This window comes from Homo sapiens, chromosome 3 (genome assembly GCF_000001405.40).
Source record: "Homo sapiens chromosome 3, GRCh38.p14 Primary Assembly".
NCBI classification, from domain to species: Eukaryota; Metazoa; Chordata; class Mammalia; order Primates; family Hominidae; genus Homo; species Homo sapiens.
In genome coordinates this window covers 190,636,955-190,660,080 of record NC_000003.12, presented here as the reverse complement: position 1 = coordinate 190,660,080, position 23,126 = coordinate 190,636,955, and the positions used below count along the sequence as shown (strand labels likewise).

Genomic DNA, 23,126 nt, shown 5'->3' with positions numbered 1-23,126 from the left:
TTAGCTGTGTGTGGGTTTACATTAACTGCTTTTTTTACTTGAATGTTTTATGGCCCAGATTAAATAATTCCACTGAGGTAGCTTTGTAATAGAATTACTTCCCCTTCAATCTTACATGGATGGTTCTAGAATTGGCAGTGGATCAAGTGTCAGAGTCTGGATTGGAGACTCAACCCTATTGATAATTGGCTGAGTGTCACTAGGAAAGTCACTTAAGCTGGATAATATGGTCCTGTTCTATACTGCTTTTGGACATTTTACAAGAGTTTAAAAAAGGTGAGGCATATGAAATAAATGTATAATATATCATTTAATGCCATCAACATCCAATGAGGTTGATAATAGTATCTTTATTTTAGCTAGTAGGAAATTGAGGCTCAGAGAGACCATGTTCAAACAGATAGGAGAGAAGTAGGACTCACATCCATCTCTATTTGATTTAAAACTCATGCAACTAAGTAGACAATATTTCTTATGCAATGATATATCCATTTACCCTACAATCCTGTTATTTCTATTATGGATATGCATGGCCCATGAAAAAAATTTCTTTCTTATTATAATTTGCTTCATTGAAATGTATGGTACTGAACATCACATTCAATTTGGCATGTCAGGTCAAGAAATAATAATATAACCTCTGATCCTTTCTCCATACAGTAGAAGTATAGTCTATTATCTTTCTGACCGCTGTATAACTAATACTGAAAACTAAGACTTTTACTGCTTCCACTACACTTATATTGTCCAAGGAAATTGATACTTGCCAAAATGTAGTTTTGAGAGCACCAAAATTTTCTAGCTACTCATATAATATGAGCTCATATTTAATTTTCCATGACTCTGCCAATAGTTCTTTCATTTCTTTGTCTTCACTAAAACAGAAAATAATGTATAAATGAAAAATTTAATTTCTCATTTTCTTCCAAAGATATTTTACACTTTGAGATGCTGTGTTAATAAGGCATAACACTGATAGTGGGTCAGAGAATCTTCTCCCTCCTTGAGCTTCGGAGCCGCTTACATTACCCATTATTAATAGATTTGGAGAGAAACTGCTATCTGTCTTCCAACTGAAGGTTCTTGAATATACATCAAGGATGGATTATTCTTTACAAGAAGGGATTTAATAGAGGACAAGGCCTTTGGGTTGTGCTAAGTCATTTTCTACTGGATATTTAGTTAGGGTGGCCTGTCGTTTTCTGATTACAAGTTTCAGGGTGAGTTCACATTTACTCTAGGGGGCCCTTGTTCCCCCATCTTTGGAGTAGGAATCTTCTAGTTTTTTGTTTGTTTGTTTGTTTCGACAAAGAAAGGATCTTCTGAGAACATTTTCAAGAGGGGTAGTGAGATGAAACTGCTTTCTTTCTTTCCCCACTGCCCATTCACTGTTACTGACCGGGAGCCACTGACACTCATTGGGCCACAACTCACTAACAGCCACAGCTAATGTATTAAAGGTGACTTCTCATGTAAGGTGTGGTCTCTTGCTTTTTTGGTTCTGCTCATGTTCAGGAGTAGCAGACTTCGTTCTTCTTATTTTCTGACAGTAAGCAGGCAAGAAACCTCTAAAGAGTAAATGGAAGGCACCGAATTTTCCAGATTTTTCTTTTCTAATGGAGGGTTAGGTCAGATCAGCTCAATTGTAACAGCCCAGATGTCTTCAATTTGAGGAGAGGATAAACATGCTCCACTATGTCCTTAGAGCCAACCTGTGTCTTCCAGTTCTGGTATTATCAGGGACACTAAAATTCCATTTGGAGATATGTTCTTTGGCTGAATACTTTAGTTATGAAATTACAAACTAGTTGCCCTCAGGCTAACTATGTCCCACAGATATAATTTGTTTGGCTCTTTGTTTTTTCCTTCTTAACTTTAAGCCATCCCATAATTGACATTATACATAAAAATCTGAATTTTTTAGATTCTTTAGAAAAAAATGGACAATATGGCAACATTGGGGCTCAATTAGTGACAAAAATCAAATGGAACTGAGTAGAAGCTACCCATTTTTTTTTTTTTTTTTAAGATGGAGTCTTGCTCTGTCACCAAGTCTGGAGTGCAGTGGCACGATCTCGGCTCACTGCAACCTCCACCTCCTAGGTTCAAGAGTTTCTCCTGCCTCAGCCTCCTGAGTAGCTGGGATTACAGGTGCCCACCACCATACCTGGCTAATTTTGTATTTTTGTAGAGATGGGGTTTCACAATGTTGGCCAGGCTGCTCTTGAACAACTGACCTCAGTTGATCCACAAGTCTTGACTTCCCAAAGTGCTGGGATTATAGGCATGAGCCACCACACCCGGCCTGAAGCTGACCCTTTTTAAGAAATATGTGTTCTTCAGTTGCTTAGAGGGCCAATGATCTACCTGACTTGGAAATCAAATGCCATGTGCCTTATATGAGTTTATGAAAATGTTTACAGAGAAGAAATAACTATCTGTGCCTATGTCCCTATTCACATCAGTTCTAGATGGAGAGCATGTAAAATAAGCTGGTATCTGGCCATATTTTCTCTTTTCTCTTACCTTCTGATCCTTGTAGGCACTTGAATTTATTATCCCTTCTCAGAAGCCTGAATGGGACGAAGGCACCTATTTCTACGCTACATCACTTACAATACGGAATTTTTCATCTGTCAGTTCTAAAAATATGAGATTGTTGTAAACTTCCATTTCATTTAAGTCACATTCTCCCTCTCTTTTGGTTATTTTCCACATCTCTCCCATTACATATCAGAGAGAAACAAAAAAGGCATCTTAGTTTTTCTGGTACCTAAACCAAATCTCCATTTTCTGAAATGGAATACTCTCCAGATAAGAATACAACAATCATAGGAAGTAGAAGGGTGAGAGAGATGTAAAAATTTGTTAGTACAAATAAAATGACGTAAAAATAGAATTTTATTGATGCTAACAATGTTAGGCAGTTTAGAGAACACTAGTTTACAGTGAGACAGAGAACGCCATGTATCCCTGGGTGGGTATGTTTGGTTCTTTGAGGAAAAATGTGCTGTAGGTTTTCTGTTGAGCTTCGTCCTACAGCTTCCACCAGAACCAGCTCCTTTCCATGCTGCTCCCTGGGAATGCATACACCCTGTAAGCATCATAGCCCAAGTACACCTGACTGACTTATAATGTGAGGTTGATCAACTCACTGAAAAGAAACACATTTAAATTCTTAGCTCAGTTTTAAACCATTGGACAAGATAGAGGATCAGACTTTAGGCAACTTTCACATACTGACCTTCTAGGGCCCAAGAAGAGTGTGCTCTTCTGAGGCCTTTAGAGGCAATAATTCTGGATTCAGGTCCTTCAGGTCTTTTGTCTCCTAGAAATAAATAGTTTTTAAAAATCAATAAAGGGGACAGAAATCTGATAGTCCATTAGATGATAAAAATGTCAGATTTTCCCACAGGTTCATGACATACAGAGGGTTGGTAGAGATAGTAGCCACCACCCACCACACACAGTAATTATAGGATATAAAAGTCGTTGTTATTGGATAAGTCCGTGAAATGATGAAGAGCAAGGGCTGAGATCTGGGGAGCAGGGGGTTCCAATCTGGTGCCATTTTGTATCCATTGAGTTTCTGACTCTTGGGGAACAGGCTTACAGAGGTGTGTCTCCCACTGGGGCTGGTTATGAATCTCTGCCCGGCTCTTGTTCCTAAGGTGATTCTCTCCTTCACAGTAGGTGACACAACAGCGGCAGGTGGCGGAGGACTTCCCTCGGTGCTTGGACATTGTGCCTGGGGCTGGAGGGCTACCTGCAGCCCTCTCTGAGCTCTGAAGTTCTGGGGGCTCTTTCAAACGACTTCTCCTCCTTTGAACGTGATCCAGACTGATGTCAGACTGGGAAGAGCAGCTCTCATTCCAGCCAGAACTGGCACTCAGACTTCTCAGGGGAAGAGCCAACCGCAAAGCTTTCCAGAATTTAGAGCCAGAATGTTTGGACTTTTCTCCCTTCCAGCTCACAAAAGACACAGACTCTTTGAGCTGAAGAATGCCTGGGTGCGGGTGCTCAAGGGGACGGTACTCAACCACAATGAGCTTGGTGGCAATGGAGTTCTGGCACATGACACCCAGTTTAAACTCCAGCATGCTGATGCTCTTTTCTGTCACATAGTCAGGGCTCAGAACAACAATCATCCTTCTGCTTCTCTGAATGAAATCAAAAACTGCTTCCACTGTATCTATAGGAAAATGGAAATATAGGACAATGTATAGTGAAAACTTACATATATTCCAGTTCGTTATTGTCCATCCTCCAGAGGACAGGGAATGAACAAACACTTGAGATGACAGAATCTCAGTGCTGAATAATTTACCCAGTCAAAAAAATCTACACCACTCTTGTCAATGGTTGCTAAGAATTTACTGCCTTCAAGGATGGTATGGTAGTTGAGCTCAGTCTCTCTCTCCTACTGCAAAACCCTCATTGCAGTAGTCTCCTTCTTCAATAAGTCTTTCTTAAAACACACACACACACACACACACACACACACACACACACACACACACACGGTGGGCAATTGAGTAACTACCCTCAAAATATTAGCCACCATCAAAAGCAAGTCATTTCAGCTCTGTTTACAAATTATTTCTTGTTTTGAAATCTTCTTCCTCGCAAATGTTATCTGGTGGTCAGATCTTGAGTCTTTAAATGTTTAGAATATTTGAAAACCATTTTTATATCTTTGTAGTATTTTCTTCTTATGTCTGGATTAAATATTTTCAGGATATTTCTCTTATTCCATAAATGACATGGCCTCATGTCTCCTCTGCATGTTTACCATTTTCCTCTGGATAATGTTCAGTTTATAGATGTGTCTTCTAAGAGTAGTATTATGAACAGGAGTGAACATAATGCTCCTGACATAGTCTGATCAGCAAAGAGCAACAGGAATTATCACCTCCTAAGATTCTCAGTTATATCCTTTGATACTTAACATTTTTGGACACAACATCGGACAGTTCATAGTAGTTCATAGTATTTATCTTGTTATCAATTAAATTCTTTTTTCTGTGTGTGTGGTGCGTGTGTGTGTGCGTCTGTGTGTGAAGAATTGGAATTAAAGGGGCAAAAACAATGAAAATGGGTAAGAATTAGTCAAGTAGCTAAGACTTCTGGCAAACCATTCGATTCTAATGGTATCAAAGTGGATTTGGACAGATCCCAAGGGAAAGTTCTTCAAATAAATGTAATGCTTAACTCACTGTGAGATTTAGGAGCTTAGAACATGCCATATCCTGAAGGAAAAAGGTTCAAAATTGTAAATCCTAGCCATTTATAACTTTGAAAACATGTGCCAGAGTCACCGTGTGAGGGTGAACACCTCTGCTTTTGGTCCAGGGACGAAACAGTAACGGAGAGAGTTTTCAGCCTTGGAAGACAGACTGAAAGTTTGCATTGGTCATTGTGAACTTGACAGGGAATAAGGGAGCTGTGCTTCTTACAGATTATAGTTTTGTTTTTTTCAATCAGTGGATTTAACATGAATTTGAAGGGAAATTGGAGAGACACGTGCTCAAGTTTTGAGAACTTTTGATTGGTTTAAGCAGGAGTGCAAAAATGTTTTTAGAGACATTTTGTTTCATTCATTCTTAAGAGATAAATTTAAATTCTCGTTTATCATTAAAACCCTTCTGTGTGTACGAGTGTGTGCACATGTGCATGTGTTTTAGCAACTCCTCAGTCCCCTCTAGTCCTACTCAGAATCTTAAGAGGCTGCCTCTCATAAATCAGAGAATATGAAAGTGGGAAGTCTACTGCTTCTCCTGGCTCCTGAGAAATGTGAAATAACCTTAAGGCAACATGGCTAGCTTGTCAACAAAGAGAACTCATGCAAATTGTGTGTGTGTGTGTGTGTGTGTGTGTGTGTGTGTGTGTGATATGATGTTTCACTTCAAAACAGTCACCTTAGGAAAATGTATGTTTTTGCCAATAGGAATATTGTTGTTTAAAATACAACAAACACTGTTCCAGATCTTCTTAAAAAATGACTTTTGAGTCTGTTGCTCTTTAATTTTTTTATTGGTACTCCATCCAGAAAGTGAGGAAGTTTAGATTTGAAAGAGGACAATGCTAAATGCAGGTAAGAGTGGCGGAATTTTAGACGTTGAGAAACACATGTAGGAGATGCTTCTCAGAAAGGTCCTGGGCTATACCGAAGGATCTTCACTTAATACTGTAAAGGGAGTTGCATGCTTTATTGCATATTTTTAAAATACCTTCTATATTGCCAAAACTTCATATTTGAGGACAGGAGCTATTATTTTTAATGCTAAAGTTTACTTGGAGGAGTAGTAATTTAGCTCATTTATTCTGTTTGGCTCAAAAAATGAGGTATGGCCATATAATAATGAGATTTGTTTTCTTGTGTGGTACTAAATTGGCTTTGAAGTCATGTTGTATGACTGAGAACTCTTCAATACTCAAGAATACTCTTGCCTGTAAAAGTCATAACTTCCATGGAGTTCACTTAGAAGAAAACTAGGATGGTCATTTTTTTTTTTCTCCTCTGGATGAGTTATTAGTAGATAAAAGAACAGCAAACCTCTGTCTCTTTCATTTTCTCTATTAAAACTTGAAGTATAGAAAAAAGGAAATATTTAACTTGGAAGACGAATGTGGTTTCAAATATTGCTTTCTCCATTTATCCCTATTTGTATCTTAATATCTTTTGAGTCCTAGTTCATCCATCTATAAAATGCATATGATAAAGTAAACTCGTAGGGCTGATAAACAAATTAGATGCCTACATGTGAATTTCTAGCACACAGTACACATTGCATAAATCACTTTGATTAAATTACTGTTGCTCAACGTCTAGTGAACACAATAGTAAAATCATATATGGACTAATGTTTATTGAATCTGTATCAATTATTAATGCTAACTTTAAAATATCATCTTACTATGTGGATTTATAAGAGTAATAGTGTGTAAAAGTTCTGTCTATTCAGTTTTAAATAGATGTAGATTAAAATTACTACTAAAACACTCCATCTCCTAACTCATTACTAAGGTTACTTTATATTCCTTGAGTAGAAACAGAGAAATAAGATAGACTAGTTGCTAAACCCGTCTCTCATACCATACTGTGTATTTACTTGCGTTAAAGAGCTAGTGACATCAGTATATACTGGAAAAAAAAATCTTGAGAGTTTAAGGAAGGTTAATCACAGCCAGGTAGATCATATGCAAAATGCTGAAGTTGAATCTTCCAAAGAGTCACCAGTATGTTCTAGTAGGTCACTTAACACGTTCAGGGTTGGAAACAACTTCAGACTCAAAACCACTTATCCAGTGCAAAAAACTCATATACAAAATCTCAATGAAAATCTATCAAATAAATGCTTATATACCTCTGGTAATGGCAGGCCTAGTATTTCCAAAGATAGTGAATTCCATTAGTGTCGAACTCTGCTTTACAGCTATTTTCTAACTGAGCAGAAATCTGTTGCCTTGTAACTTCGATCCGTTGATCCTAAGCCTACACTTTTGGGGCTGGTTTGCAAAAGGAAAATTAATTCTTCAGTAGAAGAACCTTTACTAAGCTAACCAATTCTGAGCATGTTACAGGGCTCAGTAAAATGAACAAATAGGATTTTTTTTTTTTTTCTGAAGTCTCGCTCTGTCGCCAGGCTGGAGTCCAGTGGTGCAATCTCAGCTCACTGCAATCTCCGCCTCCCGGGTTCAAGCGATTCCCCTGCCTTAGCCTCCCGAGTAGCTGGGACTACAGGCGTGCACCACTATGCCCAGCTAATTTTTTGTATTTTAATAGAGACAGGGTTTCACCATGTTGGCCAGGATGGTCTCGATCTCCTGACCTCTTGATCCATCCGCTTCAGCCTCCCAAAGTGCTGGGATTACAGCGTGAGCCACCGCGCCTGGCCAGGGATTTTTTTTTTTAAAGCAAAAAGGCATCCCTGTCACTATGGACTTGTATTATTAACCGAAAATAAAATATGTTTCCAAATATTAATCACTGATTTATTCAAAATTTGTAACAGAAATGCATCTTTGATTCAAATGATCATCAATTAACTAAAGTCATGGCATTAGTTTTATCTATTTCCAAAGCAACTACCGTGTGGTTGCGTTAAAGCCTATTAGATGAAAAATATTCCTGTAAACGACCTAAGTTCCAAGTTGAGTAAAAAGGAATAAGCTTGTTTTCCTTTGTATTAAAATAATCTTTCTCTCCTTTTTCTCTGTCTCTCTGTATCTTTCCATCTTTTTGACAGTCTTTCTGTCTCTCTGCATACACACATACACATACACATACACATACACATACACACATAAACACATATACACCCATAAAATATGTCCTAGTATTCTGGAACAATTCATTTTACTTAAGTAACTTTTACTTCCATGTAAAGAAAATGTTCTTGATAAGAAGTTCCCATTTTACTCAGATTTATCTCAGAAAGACACTTAACTAATGTAACTTATTATATTTCTTTGTGAATATAATAAATTCTTTCTGTTTTCACTTATGACCAAATGTGAAATGACCAAATGACCAAATGACATAAAACACATGCACAAAATAAAATTCAAAGCTGAAAATAAATGGTTTATTTTTAACATAAGTAAATTTACAAATCAAATGAAAAATGAAAAATACAAAAGTTCATGAATGAAATAAAAAAGACACTCTCAAAATATTAAAACCTATGGAAAGAAAATAAGTAATTAATGAATGATGTTTTTGTTTCCAAATACAATGAAGTGATTTTTTATTAGAGTCCTTGGGAATCATCTAAGTTACAATACAGAAGAGAATTAAATAAATCGTATATGATTTTGTAATTAGACACTCTATATATCACAGTTCTTTGTTAACCTGGGCATGGAACGTCCCTATAGCATATATTTAAAACCATTAATTTTTTTTAAAAAAATTTGAGACATGGTTTGTTCTTGTTCTCTAAATTATGTTTCCCCATTTCCCTTGAATGTTCTCTATTGGCCATCTTCTGGAACATTAAAAAAAAATCTTGAAACAAATTCTCTTGCAATGATACGTATCACATAAACTTGATATGCTTTATATTACAGCATTTGTAAAATTAAGTACCAAAGGCAGGCATATAAATAGAAAAAACATCAAGGTATTTCTAGGGGTGCCCAACAGCATTTGGGATAAATATGGAATCCAAAAGTGCAAAAGGAATGCAGCATTGGCAAGAGAATGGTCCTTTGGTGACTAGACTATTCCCTGTTTGCCTAAAGTTTATGTAAGAATTGATATTCAAAGCTTATCTGGAATAAGTTCTTTTCTGGTCTAGTAAGTGAAGGGTTAATAGAGGGAGTAATTGTGGTTTCTAATAGGGAAAAATATTAATAAGGCTAAAAAAAAGTAGATCCAAGAATGACCTACTTTTCTACTTTTTTCATCCAAGTGAAACTTTTTTCAATTTAAAATAATCAATAACACTTATAGAGGGAAATGATTTATTATGGGTACTTAAATATAGGATATAATTTTACATTTGTTCATCAACATTCATGTTACCGGGATAAGGGCTTTCTTAAATTACGAATTATTCTGTTTCACAGGATACCAAGATTCATTTACAGTTATATTTGTTTCCTTTATCACTCAACAGTTCAAATAGTTGAGCACTGAGGTTAACATAGCTTAGTTTCTAAATGTGTCTGCTGGGAATATAGTAGGAAATCAATTAATGCCCGATGGCTGGCTACTGCTTAGCAGTGACCATGGAAGCTCTGTGCACAGCAGATGCCACTGCAACCTAGATAAACTGTAGCAATACTTAAGTTATTTATATAAACTTAGGGAAGGCAAGAACTATGACAACTATCACTCTGTGAGCTGTGAATTAACAAATAATATGTACAGAAAACACTGACACAAAAACATTCCAGTAAAAACATAATTTAAAAACTGGACAAGAGTTCCAGTGGTTTTTAATATTGTACCCATAGCTATTTAAAGTCATATACATACACATACACACACACAAATTATATATATATATATATTTCATGTGCATGTGGATTTATATACACAGATATATGTAATGTATGTGTGTGGATATGTATATATATAATTTGTGTTTGTGGAGATATAAGATATATATCTCATATACACGTGTGTATATATATGTATAATCTACATGTAACATAGATATTTACCACTCTGTAAACTCTGCACTTAGTTTTCCAAGTCTTAAAAACAGCAAAATATTACTGAAAACAAACAAAACAACTTTCATTGACAGTGACTTCTCATACTGACTTATTTGGAGCAAGTATATTTCCTGCACTAGTGAATAGGTGACAGGAAATACAGTTAATTCTCTTAGAATATTAATGCCAAAAGCAACTCTCAAGGCCACTAAGACTGACCTCCGCCCTTTACAATGGAGCAACAAAAACGAGTGAGAAAAAATCACTTTCCCAGTATTCACATTAGCAAGGTTAAGACTTAAAAGACAAATTGCCAAACATCCTTTTCTGTGCTCTTTTCATGAGTCAGAAAAATGCCCTAAAAGAGTCTTTCTGTTACCTCCCTCTCTATAGCACCATTAGGAGATTTCTTTCAGACTGAACCTAGTATGGAGCCTCCTGCAAACTCTAAATGAGCAATGCGATATAAGCAGATAGGGAGAAGGAATGAAAAAATGTGGGTTGACCTGTGGATAATCAGGAATTGACTGGAGCAAAAACAAAAATTAAGAAATATTTTTCAAGTTTACATAGATTTCATAAATTACCTGAGATGAGGACAAGGGTGGTATAGAAGACAAGTCCTTTAAATCAATTAAAAGAAACATTTTCAGTTACACTGCTTTGTATCATCCTAAGTGGATGTCAGTCTTGCTGTGGTTATGTATTATACAGCCGAATGAGGAAAAAAGTTCATTATCCTCAGCTAAAATGTAGGCCTTGATTATCTTTTCAACGGACGAGTAAAAATAAGATAAAAAGAAAACTATACTCGGAAACTCATGACCCTGTCAACAGTGACTTATTTTAAAGGCATATTTAAATTCATAGGAAAGGCTGCTCCATATGTTAAGATTTTAAAAAGAATGGAGACATATAAAAACAGGGATAGACAATGTAGAAGGGGAAATTCGCATTGAACAAGTCTTTGCCTGCAAAGAACATAGTGGCATCAGAGACTGGTGACAGAACGTTGATGATATCTTTCTAAACTTTAGTGTTGCCTGAGGAAGCAGAATAGTCAGCCACACAGTCACCCTAAATTTATCCCTATTGGGAGGCTTAGACCATTATTTTTGCCTATGAAACCATAAACTGCGAATGAAGACTGGGGGGACTCTTTCTTCCTGGAGCACCCCTTGTTCTTTTTACCCTTTTCATTATTCCTTTCATACATTTTTCAAAGATGAATACGAGAGGCCCTGCTCATCACTGCTAGACCGCCTGGGACTTTTCTTCACTGGCATGGCCACCTGCAGCTGCTTCCAGAACCTGCCCTGTGGATACTTGGATTTTTCCCCTTTCCATTTAATGACCGTGAGCACCGTCTTAGCCCTCTTCAGCTCTTTCACCTTCGTTTCCTTCACAGCTTTGTACTGTACTAAAATGACGTTGATGTTGCCCCGAGAGGCCATATTTTCTAGGCCAGCCTTGAGCTCCAGGAGGGCTTGGGTTCCCTGGAGCACGTAGTTGGGGCTTAGAACAACCAGGAGGCGTCTGCTTTTCTGAATGAAGCTCAAAGTCTCATCTGTGACAACTGGGAAAGAAAACAACCATGGGGATTAGTGTTGGCCAAAAACTCCCCAAAAGCATTGAGGCTTGAGGAGCAAATGTAGGGAACTTAGGGTACCAGCCTAAGAATTGAGGTGAAACATTTTACCAGCAAAAATGTGAACAACTTAATCCTTATACCTGCAAACTCTCTTTGTTAAATACCACTGTCTTCAGGGAAAACAGAAACTATATACACATATTTCTAAAAAGAATTCCAAACAGGCATGAAGCCAAAAGGTAGTATAGTGTTGTGACCTTGATCTTCAAAAACAACACTTGAGACACAAGGAGTAGACACATTATACTGAAAGCAGTTTCTTTAAAGTGTGTGGCATCTTATGGTCTAGCCACGTCAGCTCATGAGCCCTTTCTTCACCAAAGAAACCCATGCACCATGCATAAACTCTCTAGTACCAATGGACACTCAAAAAGGTATATGTTATATAATCAAAAAAATAGAATTTTATCTTTTGCTAGGACAGGACAACAAAGTTAGAGACCTTCATCTTCTGAAAGTCCCTCTCTATTGTTGGATACCTCTCTGACTCTAACATCACTATGTCCTTAGACTAGAAGCTTAACAAAATCTAGCCAACTGAATGGCATTTTGGCTGGTAACACATCCTCGGTGGGCTTTCTACTTCTTTCTCCCCTGGAGCCTAAATTAATCGCTGGATCTTTCTCCTCAAACTCCGACCATTACTATAAAGCTATGTGTTTCGGCAGCTGCTAGATGATGTGTCTACTTGCACTAACAGGCAAATGCTTTCTTCAACGAAAAAAGAAGAAAAAGCAGGAAAACTGGAAATGCCATGTAATTTTATTCTGCTGTCAAGGGCCCTGATTAGTTTCTGTCACTAAATTCTTGGAACCAATCCATCTCCTCACAGTTGCTTATCGAGGATTGCATAGTCCTTTACCTGTGTTTCAGATGGTTGCCAACTCTAGGTAACTTACTAGAATTGTGGAAACTTATATCATGTCTTGATATATTCCTTTATGAAGTCATTTTGCCCCTTAATCTTCACAGGTTCAGAAACAGTAGGGAAAGCCTTGTGATTAAAATCTAGCATGCACAGCCTGGGGGAGAATCCAGGAATGATTGTGTGTTCCAAGCAGTGGCACTGGAGGCTGAGCATGTGCAAGCATGGCAAGAGACCCAGAGTCAAAGAAGATTGGGTAAGAGCGGCAGGGAGAATAAAAAAGGAAGCAAAAGCTAACTAACAAATGCAAGATGCAAGAGTAATTATGCAGAATGTGAATTCTTCAAAGAATTATCAACCCCTATTGGAGGGTCTTACCCAGTTCCGTGGTAGATAAGTATTTATTGAATGGCTGTACGAACAAATAAATGGGTGAATAAATGACTGGGGAAATTAAGTATTAAAATGAGTGGAATTTATCCTTTAACTGTATAATTAAGTCATAACTTCCTGGAAAAATTATACTGAAAGAAACATCTTATGATGGACTTTTGGTTGATGATTGGGAAGATAAAATAACTGATCCAACTAAATCAAAATGAGAATAAAATTTCAAGTCTATCTCAATTATCCATGCAATATTTAAAAAAAAACTGTTAAATGATGAATGTAGACAGGATTTTAGAGGAGTAAAATTGGTTTGTCTTGCTTATGATTAGATATATTACAAGCATTTCAACAGGATAAAGTTTAACAGTGGGTTTGGGAATGTAACTTATATATTTATTAAAAAGACACCAATGAAAAATTACTTTGTGTGTTACTGTGCGGATCTAAAAAGGAGTTGTACTTTTATTTTAACACATTCAAGAATTTAGGCATTTCCTTTCTTTTTAAACCTTCTAGTTACACTGGCTATTATAAAATTTTAAAGTAACCCTCAAATGTATAAGCTGACAGGAAGAAGAAATAGACCCAAGGAAAAGGGGAATTTGAGTAGCACTATTTTGCTTGAAAAGAAAAGTGAGGGGGAAAAAAAAGAGCAAATGCCACAGGAAAATACTGTAATTATTATCAGTGAATCACATAAGGAAAAATTCTACCCACACTCTTCCGCCACTCACTTTTAGTAAAACCAAGTAAACCTCTGTCTTTCTAAAACCAAAATAAAACTGCTTTAAAAAAAAATTCTCAGTCTTGTAAAACAGTTCTAGACCAACCAGTGTAGATTAGCCTAAACCGAAAAATCTAAATGTGAATAAACAGGATGTTTACAGCTATGGCCCTTTAACAGAGCTCTAATCCACTGTGCCTCCATGCTTTTCTGACATGCATCTCTGAAAGATTGCAAGGGAAAATATTTTAATACCATAAACTGAGTTGAATAGTATACATTTCCAACGTAGTTTTATTTCTAGAGGAGTCTGTTACATCAAAGAGCATCGGACATTAAATATCCAAAGATGCTGTGCCATGACTCTCTCCCATAATGCAAAACTAATGATTCTGTCTGCCTTTCAAGGTAGCATCATTTGTACTCCTCTGAAATACCTACTTCCCCCAGGCAGACTGTCTCGGTCAAAGATGCACAGCTTGTATCCAAATTCATTCTCCAAAACTCCACGGAGGGTCAGTAATACAAATTCTTCTTCTTCCGCATTCCTTGCATAGGATACATAAATATCATACTCTTTTCCATCTAGCAAAAGGAACACAGATACAATGTAAATTAGGAAAGTTTCTCAATACCATTACATTTTTCTTAAATCTAACTTCTGCATATTAGACATTTTCATTATGTGACAGATTCCAGTGCGATTTTCTACTTGCAACAAGTCTCCACGCAAAACGACTATTTGAAGATGTAATTTTGAATGTTATCTGATATATCCTCAACTCTCATCTTACAGGTTGCTTTACAGTGGAAAAAGAGTGAGGTTTGTCCCATTCAACTGTAAATTAACAAAGCCAGAAGGTAAATCATAGGTACTGGCAATTAACACTGTAGAGAAAATTTCAACTTCCTGTCCAAGCCTATCACTCATTAATATCTTAAAATTACAAATTGAGTAAAACCTTGTGAAACTGCCTGAATTATTTATATCTGAAAAGAACTAAAATTAAAAATATAATTAGATTTAATGGACCAATCTTTCACGAAGTTGCTTAATTAGAAAAATCACATCTCATTAAAAACTATCGATTCCGTGTTTCTTCCATAAGCCTACTGAATTAAAATCTTTATGGGGTGGACCTATGAATTTGTATGTTTAAATGCTCTATTCTTTTCACTAAGCAAATTTGCACTAGAGCTGTGCTTTTCAGATGTTAACGTACACATGAATCACTTGGGAATATGGTTTAAATGTAGATTCTGAGTCAGTAGGGGCTAGGTCTAAGATTCTTCTTCTAATAAGCTACACGTGATATGTTGCTGCTGGTTCACAGATCTCTATCTGAGTACAAGGAGTGTGGATCAGCACTGTCCAATACAGCAGCCACGAGTCACGAGTCTATTGCTCACTCGAAATGTGGCTGGTTTGAATTGAGATGTGCTATAAGGATAAAGTAGAATACATTTTACATTTTGAACATTTTTAGTACCAAAGAAAACACTAAAATATCTCATTAGCTTTTTAATATTAATTGCATGCTAAAAAATAGTATTATAAATATATTTAGTCAATTCGTTATTTTTACTTGTTTCTTTTTACTTTTACTAATGTGGTCACTGGGAAATTTTAAGTAGGTAAGTGGCTCGCATTATATTTCTATTTGGAGGGTGTTAATTTAGACCGACTCACTAATTAATCCAAGAAAATAGAATAATAATCTTCGGAAAGATTTCTAATAGCAACGGTTGAAATTAAAGTTAATCTGCTTAAATCTTCCAGTTAATCTAGGTTTTTCAAATCAACATGTTTTCTTTTTTCTTTTTTTTACAACATATGTTCTAAAGATGACAGTAGAAGAGGTTTATGTCAAATTTCTGTTACTTACCTAAAATGGTTTCATCTGTTCCAAAATGAGCCCGGTAAAATAGGACCATCTCTAGCCAGTAAACATGGTAAACAACAATGAGAATCACCACTAGCAGGACTGTGGCTCCAAAACCACAAGCCAGTTCCACTGTGTATCTTGGAGCTGGCACTGGAATGAACAACAAAGAAACAGAATTGATTTCTGTGTGGTGACCACAGTGACCCACCATCCCGGCAAATAGCTGGATAAGCCAAGCAGCTTAGCTATGCACCTGCCTATGTATGAACAATCAGAGATAACATTGTAGAGTTTAGCACTATTTTAAAATACTAGACTGTGTTATGTTTATCTTTTTGTTTCCAGCACCTGGCATAGAAGGTGTTTTTTATTTGAATAGTCTTTGACAATATATAAATTAAAACAGAATCATAACATCAGGAAGGGCTTAGAAGGTCATCAAATTCAAGTCACAATTTGACACCTAAACCTCCTTACAAATATTTTTGAAAATTATCATTCCATCCTCGGTCCATATCTTGGGATGGAGTTCTCATTGCTACCTGAAGAAGTCCACGGTATTGGTAGAATTTTAATTGTTGATGCAGCTGATTTGAGTAAAAATCTCAATATTTTTCCACTATAGTTTCATTCTCTTGTCTAGTGTAGTATGAAAGGAATTTAATTGTCTTTCCTTTCTACTTGGAAATCGGCCTCAAAAACATTATTTTCACTGTGCAAAAGCAAAGGACATCCACCAGATGCTGAATATGCTTGGTTCTGGAAGTTATTTCCCATGTTCACAGTTCTTCAGTACATATTCTAGAGGTGAACTTGCAATATCTGATTGTGAACAGATTTCTGCATTATCTACTTATTTTTTATATTTTAGGCACCTTTGCAGTTTCTTTGGAAGTATCAGAAATAGAGTGAGGTAATTCTCCAGTACTTAAAAACCAGATCTTAACTCATTAGCCCTATAATCAAGGTCTGTCACAACCAAATTACTAACCACCTTCCTTCCTTTCTCATTTACCATTGCTTTTTCATCAAAAACATCAGGAAGATTTAATATGATGCCCGTTTCTCATGCTGTGACTTCTGGCTGGAAGTCCTTTCTCTTTTTAGTTTCCAAGTCTATGCTCGAATATCATTATTTTATATAAGCTTTTATAGAATAAAATTTTTATTGAAACCTGGCTCTCCCGTGTAGAAATTTTTACTCTTCCCTTTGTTTATCATTTGATTACAGCATTACTTATTATATTGTAATTTGTCTACAGGTCAGCTTCTTCACTCCCTCTCATTAACTATACCTTTACAGTCTTTCAGGTAGAGATTATGTCTTTTTCTTCCATGATATCCCTAGAATGCCTAGTATCTCAATGAACATTTCCACATATAAGATTTTACACTTCTGGGATATTTAGAAGTCTATTACTAAATTATGTTTCACAATTTTATTTAGTTGCTTTATTAGCTTGTGATAATGAAGTTTAAGTGTTTGAAGGAGGAACAGTATATTTACTGGGTCTGAAGCAGGAGTGGCTTAAATTGTGTATTAGTCAATTTGATTATTATCTATTGACATCTACCATTTGCCAGAAGCTTCTGGGGATACAATGGTGAATAAGACGGAAAGGGTCTCTGCCCTTTTGTGGCTAATATTCTAATTCAGGGCAGTAAATATGTAAAGAAATAAATCAGCTGGTTAATTTTAAATAGTGATTAGTGCTATAAGAGAAATAAACCATGGTAATGTGATAGAGGTGATTGAAGGGTGGGACTGGGGCAAGGGCGGTGTACTGCATAAGGTGGTGAGGGAAGGCTTCTGTAAGCACCTAGAACATTGTAGATGTTAAATGTTTGCTGAGACACAGCTTAGAAGAATCTCATTCCAAGCTGGAATTGCTGTAGAGGCTCCCTGACTCCAAAGTGCGGGGATCTTTGAACACCATCACGATGAAGCTCAATTATTGATCATACAACAGTTGAAATAGAATCACGTTTATGAACCTTGAGAGCTTGTTTGGAGGTTCTAGCAGGGGAGCACAGCTACTCCTATACCCTTGACAAAAGACCAGTCCCCCTCTATTGCAGATGGTCGTCCTCTTCCACTGAGTGCGCAGCTTCGGGAAGGAGTCACGTGAAACAGTGAGGGAGGAAGGGGACACCCGCTTAGCCAGCCAGATAAGCTGAATCTACCCTGGTGATCAATGGGGTGACAGATGTTGCAGGCAGATCAGCTTCACATCCAGGAAATCACTTTTTAAAAAGGCATCTATTCAAAGCAGAAAATGGTAAGCAGCCTGGAGCTGAACCTGAAGTTCTCTTATTAAAGGGTGAATCATAGAGTTTTGATTTTATTATCCTAAACTGGGGATATTAATCCTGCCACAGGTATAGCCTGGGACTTAGCAGTGCAAAATTATTACCAGGTACTCTTCTACTCCTTCCATGAATAATGGCACCTTAAAACAAGAAAACTCCATCATAAATTCCAGAAGCTGTGTTAGTGCAGTTGCTGAAAGTTTACTAAGATCTATTTGGATAGCTGGCATGAAAATCACTGTGTCCTTGGTATTTCTGAGTACGTTATGTTAACAGTACAACAGGGTAATTTCCACTGTTATTTTCATTATTTGCTCAGTTATTTTGGCTCTCTCTGGATGAACATTTTGTAATGGGGGTGGAGGTTGTTGCTGGCTGCACGTACCTGAAATGGATTTTTGTTAAATGCCAATAGAGAGCCTGCTTAATGACCGAGAGATCAATTACCCTCATAAATTTCCCCTGCCTCATTCATTTTACTACTGCCCATTTTATTTCTAATGGGGCATTTTAATTCTGTTTTGTGTCATACAGTCATTTGTCATATTTACAGACTGTATTTTGTAGAGCAATCTTGATAAAAAGGAGTCATTAATGCTACTTAACGTATCGAACTCTTAAATAATCTACTAGCTGGATTTTCTAAATAGCTTAAGTCACATGCAAGAGGTTCTCTACAGGGCTTTCAGGTAAAGCAGTGCTGGCTTACAGGGAAAGAGTGACCCTCAGACTACATTTGCTGACTGCCTAGCTGGACCCTCAGGTGTTTTGACAAAAAGATTTCACTCTGATGCAATGCCAGACTAAAGAATTTCCTATCAGAGGCCGGGCGCAGTGGCTCACGCCTGTAACCCCAACACTTTGGGAGGCCAAGACCGGTGGATCACCTGAGGTCGGGAGTTTGAGACCAGCCTGACCAACATGGAGAAACCCTGTCTCAACTAAAAATACAAAATTAGCCGGGTGTGGTGGCGCATGCCTGTAATCCCAGCTACTCGGGAGGCTGAGGCAGGAGAATCGCTTGAACCTGGGAGGCGGAGGTTGCAGTGAGCCAAGATTGCACCATTGCACTCCAGCCTTGGCAACAAGAGCAAAACTCTGTCTCAAAAAAATAAAAATAAAAATAAAAAAAGAATTTCCTATCAGAAAGACATGATGTAGTACGACCAAACTGGACTCCTAAACTTCTCTCATTGATTTTACTAATATTCTGATTCAGGATGTAGCCAGATTTAGCTCCTTGATGGTTGTTAGTCCTTAAATCAGTATTTTTTCCATCCCTTTTGTAGTTCAATGTAAATAACTGGCTTCAAAGCCCAAATTTCCAGGTAACCACCTTGGTTAGCTCTTGGCATTTTCCCTGTTTTGAGTTCTTGCTCTACAATCACGTTTCTCTAGGAAATCTGAGTGATTTCCGTCATCTTTATTATTGCAGTTGGAGCCTTGCCATCCACTGCATGTCCCAACTAAATGCCAGCTGCTTGCACCTCCAAGTGTTCCCTGCCACAGAACCCATGGCTACTCCGTTCTAAATTATTGGGACTGATGGATAATTTTTGGAACTGTGGTAATGACCATTCTCCTGAGTTGTAAACAAAGGGAATGCTTTATTAAAATTATGATAAATCAGAGACCTATGACTAAATTAACTCGCAGATGTTACTGATTTGGCTATTATAGTGTGTTAAAACATGTGCACTTTGGACTTCAGCTTCTGTTCTTAAAGGAGTAACTAGTCCTGGACTAGCCTTCCTTCCATATCTAAAATACAGTTTGTAAAAAGTTGGACAACTGGTAACACAGGAATGTGATCTGTGAGAGAAAAGACAAAAAAGAGGTAAATGCTACGATCACTCTGGCTTTTCGATTAAAGGCACCTTTTAAACTGTGGCACAGAGAAGGGAAAGCCAAAATGAGAAAGTGGTCACACTGAGCTAAAGAGATAGAAATGAGAGTTCAAGGCTGCTGTTGAGTCAGATTGCATTTATAGAGAAGAGAACTATTTAGAGATGGAACTCTAGAAATCTGCACAGGATTATCTCGAGTCTTCGGCCAAATACAAAGCTACACATATTTGGGGGAATACTTTAAAAGGTTAGGCAAAGAATAGCTGGGAACAGATCAACTCTAGGAGCACATGAAGGGCTGTGAGACAGTTGGGTACAGGCCACTCAGAGTGAAGAGACTGTGTTTAGCTCCCCAGTATTAATTAGAGACTTCAGGTATGACATGCTTTAGAAGTAGGTCCAATCTAACCTTACAGAAAAGGCTATTTTAGACCTGCTTTAACAAAGATAAGATGCTTTTTTAAAAGCAAGCAGTTATGCAAGTAATTTAATTACCCTCTAGAACAAAATTTAACACTGTCTTACGAAATTCAGAACTCAAAATTGTAACATCCATAATATCCAGCATATAATTTTTAAAAAGCTATATAAAAAAGCAAAAAAGTCTATATTAGCTAATAAAAAGATAGCTAATCAAAACAGAACAAAAATTGACAAAAGTGGTGGAATTATCAGATAAACACCTAAAAATGAGTATTCTATGTGTATTTGTTCAATTTTTTTAAAACCATGAACATTGTGAACAGCAAATAGAAAATATCAATAGGGACCTTTCAATGAAGATATGGAAATTCAAAAGCTAAAAGATACAATTCTGAAATAAAGAAAATGCTATCGATTAGACATCACAAAGAAAATGGCCAGCATACATTGGAAACTACACAAACACAGAGCAGGGAAAAGGATGAAAAAGGAAGAAATAAAAATAACGAGATCAGTGATCTGTGGGGCACTACTAATTGGATAGCAGTGGTCTATCCTAATTTCAGCTGGAGTACTAAAAGAAGAGAAAGAGTGAGGGGGAAAGCTAGACATATTTGAAAAGAAAATGGCTGAAAATTGTTCACAGTAAAGGAAAAATATAAACACATAGAACTGAGAAGTTTAATAAACTCTAAGTAAGAAACACACACACACAAAGGACACCACAGGCCATCATAATTTGATTTTCAAAATCAATAAAGAAAAGGTGATCTTAAAATCTGCCAAAGAAAAACATAACAAATACATAAAGGGCACAAAAATAAACAAGAACAACAGCAGCAACAAAAACTGCCCCGTTTGCATTTTAAATAATATTAGCCAGGAGACAATGGAATACCTTAAAGGGCTGAAAGAAAAGAAATAGATACACTTTCAACATATCCTGTGAAAATATTGACAAAGGCACCAGAGAAACATAATGAGAAAGTAAAAATCTTTCCAATTAATTGTGCTGGAACAACTGGATATCGGTATGAAAGGAAAACTGAACTTCAATTTCTACTACACACCATTCATGAAAAAAAAGAAAAGAGATGGACTATAGGCCTAAACAAAGGTGAACCTTCCTGACTATGGGTAAGCAAAGCTTTCTTAGAACACAGAAATTAATAATCATTAAAGAAGAAGTTAATAAATTACATCTCATAAAAAATGAGAACCTCTGCTCATTAAAACACTTCACGAAAAAACAAATTGTCATGCAACAGACTGGGGAAAAGTATTTGCAAAACATGTGTCTGACAAAGGACTGGTATCCAGGACAGATGAAGAACAGCTAAGATTCAATAATAAAATACAAACTATTTATAAAATGAACAAAATGTTTGAACAGTCACATCAAAAAATACATACAGATGGCCAATAAGCACATGAGGTGTAAGTGCTCAGTATTTTGAGACATCAGGGAAATGAAGAATTAAACTACAGTAAGATACCACCATACACTCACCTATAATTGCTAAAACAAAGAAGGCTGACAACACCAAATCCTTAAGATGTAAATATGTTGATGGTGGAATATGGAATGATACAGCCACTTGGGGAAAAAAAAAGGTCTAACAGTTTCTGATAAAACTAAGTCAGTAATTCCACTCATAGGTATTCATCTCAGAGAAGTAAAAGCGGTAGTCCATTAAGAAACTTGGATAAGAAAGTTCACAGAAGCTTTATTCAAAAGACCCCAAAACTGATAACAACCCAAATGTTCACCACCCAGAGAATGAATAAACAAATCATTCTGCATTCTTAAACAAAACAAAAACAAAACAAAACCACTCCATGGCAAACAAAAGGAGAAAATGCCTGATACACACAACAGCATGGGTGAATATCAAGAACATTTGCTGAGTGAAGGTACAGTTATACAGTAGCGCATTCTGTATGGGTCCACATACACAGAGTTCTAGAATATATAAAAAAAAAACTATTCTAAAAAAGGAAATAAAAACAGTTGTATTGTTTGGGGAGGTGGGGAAGGTGGGGGTAGAAAGGATTGACTGATAAGGGGAAGAATGTTACTTTCTGGTGATGGTAATATTCTATATCTTAATAGGATATTAGGTAATGCATATATATATGCATTTCTCAAAAATTATCAAATGGTACACTTGAATTATGCAATTTGTTACTTTATGCAAATTTTACCTAGAAAAGAAACCTACAAATAAATATTAAAACACTGATAATGATAAGGAGCTTAAATGTTTACTGATGTCTGCATCTACTTTGAAATGTATCAGAAAATAAGATGGATTGATATACTGGCAGAAGAATGAATAGACATGTGATAAAGCAAAGATAACCAATGTTAATGGTAGGATCTAGGTAGGCTGTATTACTGCTCACTGTGTAATTCCTTAAAATCTTCCATATATTTGAAAACTTTCTTAGTAAAGTTTTGAAATATAAAAATTAAAATGAAATAGGACATTTTCAGATTAAAACAAAGCTGAGAGAATTTGTCACCAGCAGATGTACCAGAAACATTAAATAGTTCTTCAGATTAAAATGTTACCAAGAATGGATAGTGTCAGAAATAAAAAATAAGCAAATAAATTTAAAAAAAGATCAGTTCTTAACTTAATAGAAGACAGTTATTTAAAGCCAAACTTTCACAATACATGTTGGTACACTGTAATTCATGCAAAACCAAAATGTATTATAGCACAACACAAAGGATGGGAGGGAAGAAATGGAAATACGCCATAGTAAGTTTCTCATAAAATATGTAAAGTGATTAATTCAAGATCAACTGATAAGTTTAGGAAAAATATTATAAACTCTAGAGGAAACAAAACAAAAC

General features: G+C 36.5%; 1 protein-coding gene and 1 pseudogene across 13 annotated transcripts in view, besides 1 other annotated feature; both read right to left on the bottom strand.

Annotated features, from left to right (window-relative positions):
* IL1RAP (interleukin 1 receptor accessory protein) overlaps window positions 331-23,126 on the bottom strand; it is a 145,666-nt gene continuing 122,870 nt past the window's right edge. For 11 of the 13 annotated variants that reach the window (NR_157352.2, NR_157353.2, XM_047448081.1 and 8 more), the window contains 3 exons: window positions 15,684-15,833; window positions 14,239-14,382; window positions 8,567-11,743 (listed from right to left, as the gene is read on the bottom strand). Coding sequence is in view for 11 of the 13 variants with exons in the window: in XM_047448081.1 (XP_047304037.1) it covers window positions 11,376-11,743; window positions 14,239-14,382; window positions 15,684-15,833 (662 nt within the window). In the remaining 2 variants the exon portion in view is untranslated. Of the gene's footprint in view, window positions 4,193-8,566; window positions 11,744-14,238; window positions 14,383-15,683; window positions 15,834-23,126 lie in introns of those variants that run through there. The other 2 variants (NM_001167931.2, NM_001364879.1) reach the window with 1 other exon arrangement.
* Window positions 13,646-14,218: an enhancer, noted in NCBI's record as "NANOG hESC enhancer chr3:190363652-190364224 (GRCh37/hg19 assembly coordinates)". NCBI's record gives its function as "activates a minimal SCP1, AML or CMV promoter by ChIP-STARR-seq in naive H9 embryonic stem cells {active_cell/tissue: H9 hESC(naive)}" and the evidence as "EXISTENCE:reporter gene assay evidence [ECO:0000049][PMID:30033119]".
* RN7SKP296 (RN7SK pseudogene 296) lies at window positions 17,673-17,918 on the bottom strand (annotated as a pseudogene).